Genomic DNA, 15,525 nt, shown 5'->3' with positions numbered 1-15,525 from the left:
AATCCCAGGACTTCTCAGAACTCAGCTGAAGGAATTTTTCTAAATCTCCATAACCATTATATTTAAGGAAGGCAAGTTTTTCAGCCTATTTATGCTTTAGGAAACCAGGAAATGCTTCAAATTTCGCTCTGCTGGCACACTGCAAATGTGGGTGGCACACCTTCTGTCTATTCATTAATGAGAGTTGTCCTTTATATAAAGCCACAGTTCCTCTTTTCCTTTATTAGAGATGGGTGTATGCAAATCTACTCAGCCTTTCCCTAATGCTCTCTGGTGTTCAGGTCAATATACGGGAGATAGGTGAGTAGAGGCTCCATCTGTGAACAAGGATTCAAGCATCTATCCCATTATTCCCCCAGAAATACCTTCTTTTTATGAATCCTCCATGTTTATTAAGAGAATTTACCAATGAAAATCAGGTTATTGTGGCCAGGCACAGTGGCTCACACTTATAATCTCAGCACTTTGGGAGGCTGAGGTGGGTGGATCACCTGAGGTCAGGAGTTCAAGACCAGCCTGGCCAACATGGTGAAACTCCGTCTTTACTAAAAATACAAAAATTAGCCAGGTGTAGTAGTGCACAACTGTAATCCCAGCTAGTCGGGAGGCTAAGGCACGAGAATCATTTGAACCCAGGAGGCAGAGGCTGCAGTGAGCCAAGATCATGCCACTACATTCCAGCCTGGGTGACAGAACGAGACTGTCTAAAAAAAAAAAAAAAAGAAAGAAAAGAAAAAAGAAAGAAAAGAAAAAAAATCAGGCATTTTAGTAGTTCTTGGGGTAATTAGAAATAAAAAGTCACCTATTAACTCCCCATATCTGTACTCATTCTACTATTTCAAAAGACTAAGGGAAAAGCATAGGGCGGGGAAGAGAAACTAGCAATTATCAAGCAGTTGCCATGTGACGAACATGCCCATGAACATTCTCCCATTCACCCCATCTACCAAGTCTATGAGCTCCATTATGGCTAGTTGTGTCCACTCCTAAATTCATACATTGAAGCCCTAATCTTCAGTACCTCGGAGTAGGACTGTATCTGGAGATAGGGCCTTTAGAGAGGGAACTTAAAATGAGGCCATTAAGGTGGGTCCTAGTCTAATGTGGACTTATGTCCTTATAAGAAGGGAGAATTTGGACACACAAAGAAACATCAAGGATGCCCAAGCATAGAAGAAAGACCTTGTGAGGACACAGGGAGCAGCCAGCCATCTGGAAGCCAAAGAGAGGGGCCAGTAGAAACCAAATCTGCCGACATCCTGAGCTCCAAATTGTAGCCTTCAAAAATGTGAGAAAAAAAGGGCATGGTGGCTCACGCCTGTAATTCCAGTAATTTGGGAGGCCAAGATGGGCAGATCACCTGTGATCAGGAGTTCGACACCAGTCTGACCAACATGGTGAAACCCTGTCCCTACTAAAATATAAAAATTAGCCAGGCATGATGGCAGGTCCCTGTGATCCCAGCTACTCGGGAGGCTGAGACAAGAGAATTGCTTGAACCTGGGAGGCAGAGATTGCAGTGAACTAAGGTCACACCAGTGCACTCCAGCCTAGGCAAAAGAGTGAGACTTCATCTCAAAAAAATAAAAAAAAATTAAAAAAATAAAGTGAGAAAATACATTTCTTTTGTTTAAGCCACATAGACTGTGATATTTTGTTAAGGCATTAAGGCAGCCCTAGCAGAGTAATGGTAATCATTATTACTACTGTAATTTTGTAAAGGATGAAACTGAGGTTCAACAGGGTAAGTATTCATGCTTTATGACTCATTAAAAAAAGAACCACAGTCAAACTCAGGTCTTTTTGGCTCTAAGCCCACGTTCTTTCCCCTATCAACTATATAACCTCTAAATAATTGTCACTTTCATTTCATAGGAAGGGAACTCGGAAAGGAGAAATGAAAGTCTATGCTCATTACATATCAGATAGAAGGTATAGGATCTAACGTATTAATAAAAAGTTTCCATATGGAATAGAATTAAAATGAGCTCTGGAGTTAGAAATTCCACCCTCCTGACTTTTTATCTGTATGAATTCAAGCAATCGCTTCACTTTTTTTATTTTTTTAAGACAAGGTCTCACTCTGTCACCCAGGCTGGAGTGCAGGGTCACAATCAATGCTCACTGCAGCCATGACTTCCTGGGCTCAAGTGATTCTCCTTCCTCAGCCTTCCAAGTAGCTGGGACTATAGGCACATGCCACCATGCCCAGCTAAGTTTTTGTATTTTTAGCAGAGACCAAGCTGGTCTCAAATGCCTGGGCTCAAGCGATCTGACCACCTCATCCTCCCAAAGTGCTGGGATTACAGGCGTGAGCCACCATGCCTGGCCCTGCTTTACTCTTTAAAGTTTCTTTTTCAAAACTATAAAATTATGGGTCTAAATACAAAATTACTATGATAATTAGAAATAAGTCAAATCAAGAGATAGCAAATAAATATCAACTGAGCAATGATGTTCCTAATAATTACCTGGAGGACCCTGTTGAGAAGGATCATGGGTTTTTTTAAATGGTAAGGGATGTTGTAATCAATGAGTAATTTCAGGAATATGGTAGGGAGATTTGTGATGTGAGAGTCATTCTGCCCAGATATAACACTTGAATGTGACAAGGACTAAATAAAGTCTGCCCTTCTCCTGTCACAGACCTTTTTTTACCTTGTAGTACGAATAGAAAAGCCTACAATGCTGTAATGTGTAACTGCCAAGGAGAAACAATATTGAAGTCCATCTCTAGGAGCAGACTCAAGAGCTCTACCCAGCTAAGGAGAAGATGATGAAGTAACTTCTCACCTCCACAGCCTCTGGATTGTCAGTCTCTTTTATTTATCTGGCTGGGACCACCATGTGTATCTCTCACCCATGCTTTTCTTCCAACCAGACCCTCATGCAGTTTCCATGTGTCCCAGCCCAGGTTTGGAAGCCATCCCCGAGAGCCACAATAGAGTCACTTACCACTGGAGGCAAACACACGCAGAGCCCAGAGACAGTGGAGGAGATTCTGGCCATGGGATAGGTTCTTCCTGGCCAGAATCAATGTCACATCAAGTGCTTCCAATTCTAGGGCCTTCCGTCCAATCTTTTTATCTAAGAACACAAATCAATCTATCTTAGTTGCACTTCACATTGATTCTGGATTGTACAATGAGTACAGTGGAGGAAGGGGAAGATGGTGAAGGAGGAGGATAATCATAGCCAAAGACATTTTTCAGACCTAGTGACAAATGCTGCTAAATATGTCCCCACTAGAACCAAATGAATCAAAAGAGCTAATTCAGGCTACACATATTTACATGGAAGCTTGTGGGTTGAATAACTCTCAAGCCCCTATATTTAGGTTGTCCTCATACATTAACCACAGTTCAATTGGGAATAAAGTTGTTCCTTTAAGACGATTCTAGAATTAAGAATATTGAATATTCTTAATATTAATATAATTCTTAATATAACATTCAAATGTAGTATGTCAACTTGGATTGGATCTTGCTTTGACTATGTCTATAAAAGACAGTTGGGAACATTTGGAGAAATTGGAATGAATATAAATTACACACGTATTTTTAATTTTATTAGGTTTGTAATAATGGTATTGTGATTATGTAGGGAAATGTCTCTTTTCAAAGAAATGCACTTGAAAGGATTTAGGAAGAAAATGCTAACCTGCAATTTCTCTTAAAATATTTCAGATAAAAATAAATAGGTGAAGAAAATACGGCAAAATGTTAACATTGGTTAGAACTAAGTTTTAGGTATATAATAGGCCATCTCTCTACATGAGAGAGAGTTTTCATAATAAAAAGTCAAAAGACATTGTTAAGAAAATAAAATTATCCCCTCTAATGTTTCTTTCTTTTTTAAAAAATAATTTAAGTTCTAGGGGACATGTGCACAACGTGCAGGTTTGTTACATATGTATACATGTGCTGTGTTGGTTTGCTGCACCCATCAACCCGTCATTTACATTAGGTATTTCTCCTAATGCTATCCCTCCCCCTGCCCCCCACCCCACGACAGGCCCCGGTGTGTGATGTTCACTGCCCTGTATCCAACTGATCTCTGTTCAATTCCCACCTACGAGTGAGAGCATGCAGTGTTTGGTTTTCTGTCCTTGTGACAGTTTGCTGAGAATGATGGTTTCCAGCTTCATCCATGTCCCTGCAAAGGAAATAAACTCATCCTTTTTTATGGCTGCATAGTATTCCATGGGGTATATGTGCCACATTTTCTTAATCCAGTCTATCATTGTTGGACATTTGGGTTGGTTCCAAGTCTTTGCTTTTGTGAATAGTGCCAAAATAAACATATGTGTGCATGTATCTTTATAGTAGCATGATTTATAATCCTTTGGGTATATACTCAGTAATGGGATTGCTGGGTCAAATGGTAATTCTAGTTCTAGATCCTTGAGGAGTCACCACACTGTCTTCCACAATGGTTGAACTAATTTACACTCCCACCAACAGTGTAAAAGCATTCCTATTTCTCCACATCCTCCCCAGCATCTGTTGTTTCCTGACTTTTTAATGATTACCATTCTAATTGGCATGAGATGGTATCTCATTGTGGTTTTGATTTGCATTTCTCTGATGACCAGTGATGATGAGCATTTTCTTCACATGTCTGTTGGCTGCATAAATGTCTTCTTTTAAGAAATGTCTGTTCATATCCTTTGCCCACTTTTTGATGGGGTTGTTTTTCTCTTGTAAATTTGTTTGAGTTCTTTGTAGACTTTGGATTAGCCCTTTGTCAGATAGGTAGATTGCAAAATTTTTCTCCCATTCTGTAGGATGCCTGTTCACTCTGATGGTAGTTTCTCTTGCTGTGCAGAAGCTCTTTAGTTTAATTAGATCCCATGTGTTTCCTTTGGTTTTTGTTGCCATTGCTTTTGGTGTTTTAGTCATGAAGTCCTTGCCCGTGCCTATGTCCTGAATGGTATTGCCTAGGTTTTCTTCTGGGGTTTTTATGGTTTTAGGTCTAACATTTAAGTCTTCAATCCATCTTGAATTAATTTTTGTACAAGGTTTAAGGAAGGGATCCAGTTTCAGCTTTCTACATATCGCTGGCCAGTTTTCCCAGCAACATTTATTAAATAGGGAATCCTTTCCCCATTTCTTGTTTTTGTCAGGTTTGTCACAGATCAGATCGTTGTAGATGTGTGGTGTAATTTCTGAGTCCTCTGTTCTGTTCCATTAGTCTATCTGTTTTGGTACCAGTACCATGCTGTTTTGGTTACTGTAGCCTTGTAATATAGTTTGAAGTCAGGTAGCATGATGTCTCCAGCTTTATTCTTTTTGCTTAGGATTGTCTTGGCAATGCATGCTCTTTTTTGATTCCATATGAAATTTAAAAATAGTTTTTTCCAATCTGTGAAGAAAGTCATTGGTAGCTTGATGGGGATGGCATTGAATCTATAAATTACTTCGGGCAGTATGGCCATTTTCACGATATTGATTTGTCGTATCTACAAGCATGGAATGTTCTTCCATTTGTTTGTGTCCTCTTTTATCTCGCTGAGCAGTGATTTGTAGTTCTCCTTGAAGAGGTCCTTCACATCCCTTGTAAGTTGGATTCCTAGGTATTTTATTCTCTTTGTAGCAATTGTGAATGGGAGTTCACTCATGATTTGGCTCTCTGTTAATGGTGTATAGGAACGCTTGTGATTTTTGCACATTGATTTTGTATCCTGAGACTTTGCTGAAGTTGCTTATCAGCTTAAGGAGATTTTGGGCTGAGATGATAGGGTTTTCTAAACATACAATCATGTCATCTGCAAACAGGGACAATTTGACTTCCTCTTTTCCTAATTGAATACTCTTTATTTCTTTCTCTTGCCTGATTGTCCTGGCCAGAACTTCCAACACTATGTTGAATAGGAGTGGTGAGAGAGGGCATACTCGTCTTGTGCTGGTTTTCAAAGGGAATGTTTCCAGTTTTTTCCCATTCAGTATGATATCGGCTGTGGGTTTGTCATAAATAGCTCTGATTATTTTGAGATATGTTCCATCAATACCTAGTTTATTGAGAGTTTTTAGCATGAAGGGCTGAATTTTGTTGAAGGCCTTTTCTGCATCTATTGAGATAATCATGTGGTTTTTGTCTTTGCTTCTGTTTATGTGATGGATTACATTTATTGATTTGTGTATGGTGAACCAGCCTTGCATCCCAGGGATGAAGCTGACTTGATTGTGGTGGATAAGCTTTTTTTTTTTTTTTTTAATTACACTTTAAGTTTTAGGGTACTTGTGCACAATGTGCAGCTTAGTTACATATGTATACACGTGCCATGCTGGTGCGCTGCACCCACTAACTTGTCATCTAGCATTAGGTATATCTCCCAATGCTATCCCTCCCCCACCCCACCCCACAACTGTCCCCAGAGTGTGATATTCCCCTTCCTGTGTCCATGTGTTCTCATTGTTCAATTCCCACCTATGAGTAAGAATATGCGGTGTTTGTTTTTTTGTTCTTGCGATAGTTTACTGAGAATGATGATTTCCAATTTCATCCATGTCCCTACAAAGGACATGAACTCATCATTTTTATGGCTGCATAGTATTCCATGGTGTATATGTGCCACATTTTTTTAATCCAGTCTATCATTGAGATAAGCTTTTTGATGTGCTGCTGGATTCGGTTTGCCAGTATTTCATTGAGGATTTTTGCATCAATGTTCATCAGGGATATTGTTCTAAAATTCTTTTTGTTGTGTCTCTGCCAGACTTTGGTATCAGGATGATGCTGGCCTCATAAAATGAGTTAGGGAGGATTGCCTCTTTTTGTATTGATTGGAATAGTTTCAGAACGAATGGTACAAGCTCCTCTTTGTATCTCTGGTAGAATTTGGCTGTGAATCCATCTGGACCTGGACTTTTTTTGGTGGTAGGCTATTTATTGCTTCAATTTCAGAGCCTGTTATTGGTCTATTCAGAGATTCAACTTCTTCCTGGTTTAGTCTTGGGAGGGTGTATGTGCCCAGGAATTTATCCATTTCTTCTAGATTTTCTAGTTTATTTGTGTAGAGGTGTTTATAGTATTCTCTGATGGTAGTTTCTGTTTCTGTGGGATTGGTGGTGATATCCCCTTTATCACTTTTTATTGCATCTATTTGATTCTTCTTTTCTTCTTCATTAGCCTTGCTGGTGGTCTATCAATTTTGTTGATGTTTTCAAAAAAACAGGTCCTGGATTCATTGATTTTTTGAAGGGTTTTTTGTGTCTCTATCTCTTTCAGTTCTGCTCTGATCTTAGTTATTTCTTGCCTTATGCTAGCTTTTGCATTTGTTTGTTCTTGTTTCTCTAGTTCTTTTAGTTGTGATGTTAGGGTGTTGATTATAGATCTTTCCTGCTATCTCTTGTGAGCATTTAGTGCTATAAATTTCCCTCTACAGACTGCTTTAAATGTGTCCCAGAGATTCTGGTACATTGTGTCTTTTTTCTCATTGGTTTCAAAGAACATCTTTATTTCTGCCTTCATTTCGTTATGTACCCAGTAGTTATTCAGGAGCAGGTTGTTCAGTTTCCATGTAGTTGTGCGGTTTTGAGTGAGTTTCTTAATCCTGAGTTCTAATTTGATTACACTGTGGTCTGAGAGACAGTTTGTTGTGATTTCTGTTCTTTTACATTGACTGAGGAGTGCTTTACTTCCAATTATGTGGTCTATTTTAGAATAAATGTGATGTGGTGCTGAGAAGAATATATATTCTGTTGATTTGGGGTGGAGAGTGCTGTAGATGTCTATTAGGTCTGCTTGCTGCAGAGCTGAGTTCAAGTCCTGGATATCTTTGTTAACCTTCTGTCTCATTGATCTGTCTAATATTGACAATGGGGTGTTAAAGTCTCCCATTATTATTGTGTGGGAGTCTAAGTCTCTTGTAGGTCTCTAAGGACTTGCTTTATGAATCTGGGTGCTCCTGTATTGGATGCATATATATTTAGGAGAGTTAGCTCTTCTTGTTGAATTGATCCCTTTACCATTATGCAATGGCCTTCTTTGTCTCTTTTCATCTTTGTTGGTTTAAAGTCTGTTTTATTGGAGACTAGGACTGCAACCCCTGCTTTTTTTTGCTTTCCATTTGCTTGGTAGATCTTCTTCCATCCCTTTATTTTGAGCCTATGTGCATCTTTGCATGTGAGATGGGTCTCCTGAATATGGCACTCTGATGGATCTTGACTCTTTATCCAATTTGCCAGTCTGTGTCTTTTAATTGGAGCATTCAGCCCATTTACATTTAAGGTTAACATTATTATGTGTAAATTTGATCCTGTCGTTATCATGTCAGCTGGTTATTTTGCCCGTTAATTGATGCAGTTTCTTCCTAGCATCAACGGTCTTTACAATTTGGCATGTTTTTGCAGTGGCTGGTAGTGGTTGTTTCTTTCCATGTTTAGTGCTTCCTTCAGGAGCTCTTGTAAGGCAGGCCTGGTAGAGACAAAATCTCTCAGCATTTTCTTGTCTGTAAAAGATTTTATTTCTCCTTTGCTTACGAAGCATAGTTTGGCTGGGTATGAAATTCTGGGTTGAAAATTCTTTTCTTTAAGAATGTTGAATATTGGCCCCCACTCTCTTCTGGCTTGTAGGGTTTCTGCCAAGAGATCCGCTGTTAGTCTGATGGGCTTCCCTTTGTGGGTAACTTGACCTTTCTCTCTGGCTGTCCTTAACACTTTTTCCTTCATTTCAACCTTGGTGAATCTGACAATTATGTGTCTTGGGGTTGCTCTTCTCGAGGAGTATCTTTGTGGCGTTCTCTGTATTTCCTGAATTCGAATGTTGGCCTGCCTTGCTAGGTTGGGGAAGTTCTCCTGGATAATATCCTGAAGAGTGGTTTCCAACTTGGTTCCTTTCTCCCCATCACTTTCAGGTACACCAGTCAAATGTAGATTTGGTATTTTCACATAGTCCCATATTTCTTGGAGGCTTTGTTCATTTCTTTTTACTCTTTTTTCTCTAACCTTGTCTTCTCACTTTATTTCATTAATTTGATCTTCAGTCACTGATACCCTTTCTTCCACTTGATCGAATTGGCTACTGAAGCTTGTGCATGTGTCACGAAGTTCTTGTGCCATGTTTTTCAGCTCCATCAGGTCATTTAAGGTCTCCTCCACACTGTTTATTCTAGTTAGCCATTCGCCTAATCTTTTTTCAAGATTAGCTTCCTTGCAATGGGTTCGAACATCCTTCTTTACCTCAGAAAAGTTTGTTATTACCGACCTTTTGAAGCCCATTTCTGTCAGCTCATCAGTCATTCTCCATCCAATTTTGTTCTGTTGCTGGCAAGGAGCTGCAATCCTTTGGAAGAGAAGAGATGCTCTGATTTTTAGAATTTTCAGCTTTTCTGCTCTGGTTTCTCCCCATCTTTCTGATTTTATCTACCTTTGGTCTTTGACGTTGGTGATCTACAGATGAGGTTTTGGTGTAGATGATCTTTGTTGATATCAATGCTATTCCTTTCTGTTTGTTAGCTTTCCTCCTGACAGTCAGGTCCCTCAACTGCAGGTCTGTTGGAGTTTGCTGGAGTTCCACTCCAGACCTTGTTTGCCTGGGTATCACCAGCAGAGGCTGCAGAACAGCAAATACTGCAGAACAGCAAATATTGCTGCCTGATCCTTCCTCTGGAAGCTTCATTCCAGAGGGGCAGCTGCCTACATGAGGTGTCAGTCGGCCCCTACTGGGAGGTGTCTCCCAGTTAGGCTACATGGGGGTCAGGGACACACTTGAGGAGGCAGTCTGTCTGTTCTCAGAGCTCAAACACTGTGCTGGGAGAACCATTGCTCTCTTCAGAGTTGTCAGACAGGGATGTTTAAGTCTGCAGAAGTTGTTTGCTGCCTTTTGTTCAGCTATGCCTTGCCGATAGAAGTGGAGTCTAGAGGCAGTAGGCCTTGAAGAGCTATGGTGGGCTCTACCCAGTTGGAGCTTCCCGGCTTTGTTTACCTAGTCAGGCCTCAGCAATGGCGGACACCCTTCCCCCAGCCAGGCTGCTGCCTCACAGATTGATGTCAGACTGCTGTGCTAGCAGTGAGCAAGGCTCCGTGGGTGTGGGACCTGCCAAGCCAGGCACAGGAGAGAATTACATTGTCTGCAGGTTGCTAACCTTGGGAAAAGTGCAGTATTTAAGTGAGAGTGCCCCCATTTTTCCAGGTAGTCTGTCAGGGCTTCCCTCACCTAGGACAGGGAAATCCCCCAACCTCTTGTTCTTCTCAGGTGAGGCGACGCCCTGCCCTGCTTCAGCTTGCCCTCCATGGGCTGCACCCACTATCCAACCAGCACCAGTGAGATGAACCCGGTACCTCAGTTGGAAATGCAGTAATCACCCATCTTCTGCGTCAGTCACGCTAGTTGCTGCAGACCGGAGCTGTTCCTATTGGGCCATCTTGGAATGCCCCCTATTTCCCCTCTAATATTTCTACATTACTGTTCCAAATAACCTGACAGCTAGTGTTACAAATAGTCCTCATTATTTTAATAATTAGAAAATAAGCATTAAAAAAGAAATACTTATTTTCTGTTCTTTGCCCCCACTATGATACCTGTCAATGGGTGATGTCTAAATCATCCTGTTTCTTTTTGCAAGAATACATCACTATCAGATTTATCGGAGGTAGAAATGAGTAAAACAGAAATAAAATCCTAAACCTCGTTTACTGATATGTACCTCTGGACTAAAGGACACCAGCAAAGAGGTTGTAACTAAACCTACATAACCCATTCCCTTCATCAGAAAAGAGATATCTATCCCATTCCTTCATGAGCAGCCAACCTCATTTCTGTTCTGTTCAGGTCAGCCCATGGCAACTTGAATGTCAGTGTCAAGGACTATAACCCCTTGATGGCAGAAACTGTGGTGATGTAATCACTACAATAGTAATATCAAGGTGAATAACTTGGAAATCACTGGCCTGGTGTATCTCTCATCTCTCTCTTTCTCCTATAAAACCTGTATGACCCTAGTTTGCCAGGGCACTGAACATATGATAAGCATGTGACATGCAATACTTTGTTTAATCCTCACAGCACCCTGGAATTAAGTAGAGTCATCCCTCAGTGTCCACGTGGGATTGGTTCCAGGATTCCCACAGATTCCAAAATCCACAGATGCTCAAGTCCCTGATATAAAATGGTGTAGTATTTGCATATAATCTACACACATCCTCAGACCTTACATCATCTCTAGATTACTATAATACTTAATCTAATGTAAATGCTATGTAAATCATTGTTAAACTGTATTGCTTAGGGAATAATGACAAGAAAAAAGTTTGTACATGTTTAGTACAGATAAAATTTTTAAAAATATTTTCAATCCAAGGTTAACTGAATCCATGGGTGCAGAACCCACAGAAATGGAAGACCAACTATACAGATAGCTCTATTTTATACATAAGGGCACAAAGCTCAGAAAGTTTAAGTACTTTGCCCAAGGTCACACAGCTAATAAGTGTCAGGGCCAGGCCTGAAACCCATGTCTGACTCTCCAGCTTATACCGTTTATGACCGAGGTATATATCAAGTCTCTGTGGTCCTTTCCTGGAGTCCACCTGGCTCACTCTTTGCTTTACTGACTTCTCATTCTTCAAGTTTTAGCTCCAATGTCACCTCTCCTGACCATGCCAGTCTAAAGTAGCATCACTCTTGCTTCCTCTTACAGCCCTCATCATAGTCTGCTATCATCAAGTTATTTGTTGATTTGCTGGCCTTCTCCACTTGAACATAAGTTCCATGAGAGCAGGTCCTTAACTGCCTTGGTCATCATGGTGTTCCTAGTGCCTAAAGCACCTGGCCCTAGGAGACATGCAGTAAATATCTGTTGAATATTCACCAAACGAATTGTATTGATTTTTTCTGGGACACGCTCATGCAGGTGTTGGCAAAAGCCTAGTTCTCCATCATTATCAGCAGCATGTTGAATGGACTCAGCGTGGAGATCCAAATATTGGAAGGAAGAGTGCTCCAGACCCCCTGGGCATTTGGCTGCCACTGATAGCACTGGACATCAAAGGCCCACTTTTCAGAGGATCTGAGCTTCTCAGCTGTGACCTATATAAGACTCAGCACACAATTAGAACTTAACACTTGTGACTCGTTTGCAATGTCTGCATGAGTCCTGAGTGCCCATGCTTTTAAACTGTGCTCCAAGAACTTCTAGAGTTTTAGGGAAATGTTTCAGGGTTTTCCTTGGTGAAAGAGAAATGACTATGGAGCCTAAATGGAAAGAACTCTAGGCCCTTCTTCCATCTTCCCTTCAACTAGGAATGTTCCACTTCTGTGTGACTTGTAGTGGATTGAATAGTGGCCCCCAAAAATTCATGTCCACCCAGAAGCTCAGAATGTTATTCTTTTGGGAAACAGAATCTTTGCAGATTTTATTACAAATTAGAGTGGGCCCTAAATCCTATGACTGATGTCCTTACACAAAGAGGAAATGATACAGAGGAGAACAGCACGTGAAGATGGAGGCAGAGATCAGAGTGATGCATCTATAGTCCAAGAAACACCAAGGATTTCTGGCAACCCTCAGAGGAGAGGGGCATGGAACCGATTCTCCCTCAGAGACTCCAGAAGGAACCAACCCTGCCAACACCTTGATTTTGGACTTCTGACCTCCTAACAGTCTTCTGTTACGTTAAGCTAAACAGTTTGTGGCAATTCGTATGGCAGCTCTAGGAAACTAGGACACTTATATTATAGACTTTATTTTTTTAACTTTTATTTTAAGTTCAAGGGTAAATGTGCAGGTTTGTTACATAGGTAAACTTGTGTCATGGGGGTTTGTTGTACAGATTATTTCAGCATCCAGGTATTAAGCCTAGTACCAATTAGTTATTTTTTCTAAGCCTCTCCCTCCTCTTACCCTCCATCCTCTGACAGGCCCAAGTGTGTGTTGTTCCCCTCTGTGTGTCCATATGTTCTCATCATTTAGCTCCCACTTGTAAGTGACAGCATGAGGTATTTGGTTTTCTGTTTCTGCTTTAGTTTGCTAAGGATAATGGCCTCCAGCTCCACCCATGTCCCTGCAAAGGACATGATCTCATTCTTTTTTATGGCTGTATAGTATTCCATGGTGTATGTGTACCACATTTTCTTTATCCAGTCTAGATGGGCGTTTAGGTTGAGTCCGTGTCTTTGTAATTATGAATAGTGCTGCAATGAACAAATGCATGCAGGTGTCTTTATAATAGAATTATTTCTATTCCTTTGGGTATATACCCAGTAACGGGATTGCTGGATCGAATGGTATTTCTGTCTTTAGGTCTTTGAGGAATCACCACACTGTTTTCCACAATGGTGGAACTAACTTATACTCCCACCAACAGTGTATAAGTGTTCCTTTTTCTCCACAACCTTGTGATGCAACTTTTAGACATGTTCCATTTATTTTTAAAATAATTAAAAACTGCATTGGAGTATCTCCCCTCCTTTCCCCCATATTATCCATGCCCCATGTAGCCCATGTTTGTTCTGGGCTCTGTCCTGAGCACCATACCTTGGATGAGCTGACATCAAAGTCAACAAAATGGCCTCTCCTATGGGGCTGGTCCTGCCATCACCATCAAGTTGTCCAGAACCTCCCTGACGCTTTCTCCCTGTGCTACTCCACCAAAGCTTCCCAAATTGCACTCATGATAACAACCCTAGAAGTGCCTTTTCAGTCAGCTTTAGGTCTTGGAGTACGAGTACCTCTTAGGCCAACTTTGGCCAGCAGCCGGAAGAGAGGCAGGAGGATGTCATAGTCTGGAGGAGCTGTCCTCGCTGTGTCTACCAGGGTCTGCAGAAGAGCTTCACTGCCACCCTTGCTGATCATGTAGTGAATTCTCCGGTCTGTGCCTGAGGGGAAACCGGAGGAAAGATGAGCCACAAGTAATAATCCCCATTTTCCTTGGAGCAGAAGACAGACCTCCCAACTAGAGACAGAGCAAGAATTAGTTCATTTCAACTACGTAAAATTATGTAGTTCTTGAAGCAACCTGTGTTAAAGTTGTACTATCAGTTAAGGGAAGAGGGTTGTGAAATAGGAAAATAGTGGAATATTTAAGAACCTAGTTGTGTTCAGCTGCAACAGCTGTAATAAATAGAGCTTATCTGAGATTCTGTTGAATATTCAGTATATGTATGTATACATGTGTGTACATGTATGTAAATATGCATATGGGCTTTTGAATAATCATATACTTAGAAGAGAGAATATCAGTATCCCTCTGCTATACATTTGAATCTTCTGTAACAAGGATTGGGATGATGGCCTAATCTGGAATCATTGTATTGATGGCATAATGATTTTCTGATGCTAGCCTTCAGAAATTGATGGAAGAAAATTACAGAAACCACTGCAGTAGTCCCTTGAGAAAGAAACATCCAATCATCCTATCTAGGGAATTTTGAAGACAGTCTAGAGCTATGACGAACTATTGGTCTTTCTACCTAAGTACAATTTTGAACAGGGACCTCCTCCACCTTGCCCAAGGACAAACTCAAAAGCAACGATTTCATTACAACTTGGCCTTGGTTGATTCTCTCTATGTACGGGGCAAAGTTGACTTAACCAAGGTGGCCAACAGGGTGGTACATTATCAAAGACGACCATCTGATTTTTTGTCCTAATGAAAAGTAGCATTCTCTGCAAGAGGCAAAGTAATCACCACCTTATCAGAGGGAGAACTTCAAGGTTTTGTCTTAAGAGTTTCAGACACCTCTGGACAAATGTAAGACAGCACTATCCCAGAAGACGAGTGACTTCACTTACACAGGCCCCACGTGAAAGACTAAATGTAAGTCATCCTGCCAGTGGAACGCAGCACAAACCATGGAAAGACCCCAATACAATGGGCCCCTTCCTCTTGAAACCATAATCCTGAGGATCTATGGGTCTGGAGTGTCATTTATTTCTGATATTGCCTGTTCAGTGTTAATATTTCTTTCTAAAGTAATGAGGCAAGCATACATAAAAATGCAAATTGAGTGAATGTTGGAATGTTCAAAAATCTCAGTAAGAACTTGAGCGAATAGAAGCATGCTCCAGTTAATCCAGTTGATTCCAATGTAGTCAACTCTGTTATCTTATCTCTGAAAACGTGATGCTTACATGCTTTCAAGTTCAGCTTCTGCCTGATATTCCTGCCTCTACTTCAAATAGCCAAAGCAGCTTCTGATACTCAGCTCTCTTAAATAGGTCACAATGGAAGCGAGCAGGGCGAGAAGAGGGGTAGAACCACGGAGGGTTACTACTAAATCTAATTTCCTCCTCAGTGTCGGGTGAGAAGACTGAGGAGTGCAAGTACAAACAGTCCAGGTTACTTGGGTCTTATTAACCTTAGAGAAAAAAGATGGGCTAGTGATGCTGCCTCTCACAGGAAACTGAAGCAAGAGCAAACCCCCAGGTCACAGAGGTGCCTGGGAGAGATCACAGCCAGCAGGCTCCACATCCGCCATATGAAAGCATGAGAGCATGGCCTACTCACCAACAGAAAGCAGATCTCCGAGGACCTTGAGGATGGTCAGGATGGACTCCTTGTCAGAGGAGCTCTGCAATGAGAA

At 41.0% G+C, this 15,525-nt stretch overlaps 1 protein-coding gene across 11 annotated transcripts in view; it reads right to left on the bottom strand.

The window, feature by feature from the left end:
* The window catches only part of AGBL1 (AGBL carboxypeptidase 1), a 951,857-nt gene that overhangs the window by 873,960 nt on the left and 62,372 nt on the right, over positions 1-15,525 (bottom strand). For all 11 annotated transcript variants that reach the window (XR_007064423.1, XR_931751.4, XM_011521227.4 and 8 more), the window contains exons 2-4: positions 15,450-15,513; positions 13,672-13,818; positions 2,956-3,087 (exon numbers count right to left, since the gene is read on the bottom strand). Coding sequence is in view for 9 of the 11 variants with exons in the window: in XM_011521227.4 (XP_011519529.1) it covers positions 2,956-3,087; positions 13,672-13,818; positions 15,450-15,513 (343 nt within the window). In the remaining 2 variants the exon portion in view is untranslated. The remainder of the gene's footprint in view (positions 1-2,955; positions 3,088-13,671; positions 13,819-15,449; positions 15,514-15,525) is intronic.

Source organism: Homo sapiens, chromosome 15 (genome assembly GCF_000001405.40).
Source record: "Homo sapiens chromosome 15, GRCh38.p14 Primary Assembly".
NCBI classification, from domain to species: Eukaryota; Metazoa; Chordata; class Mammalia; order Primates; family Hominidae; genus Homo; species Homo sapiens.
The sequence above is the reverse complement of the archived record's forward strand: the minus strand, read 5'-3'. Positions and strand labels throughout refer to the sequence as shown.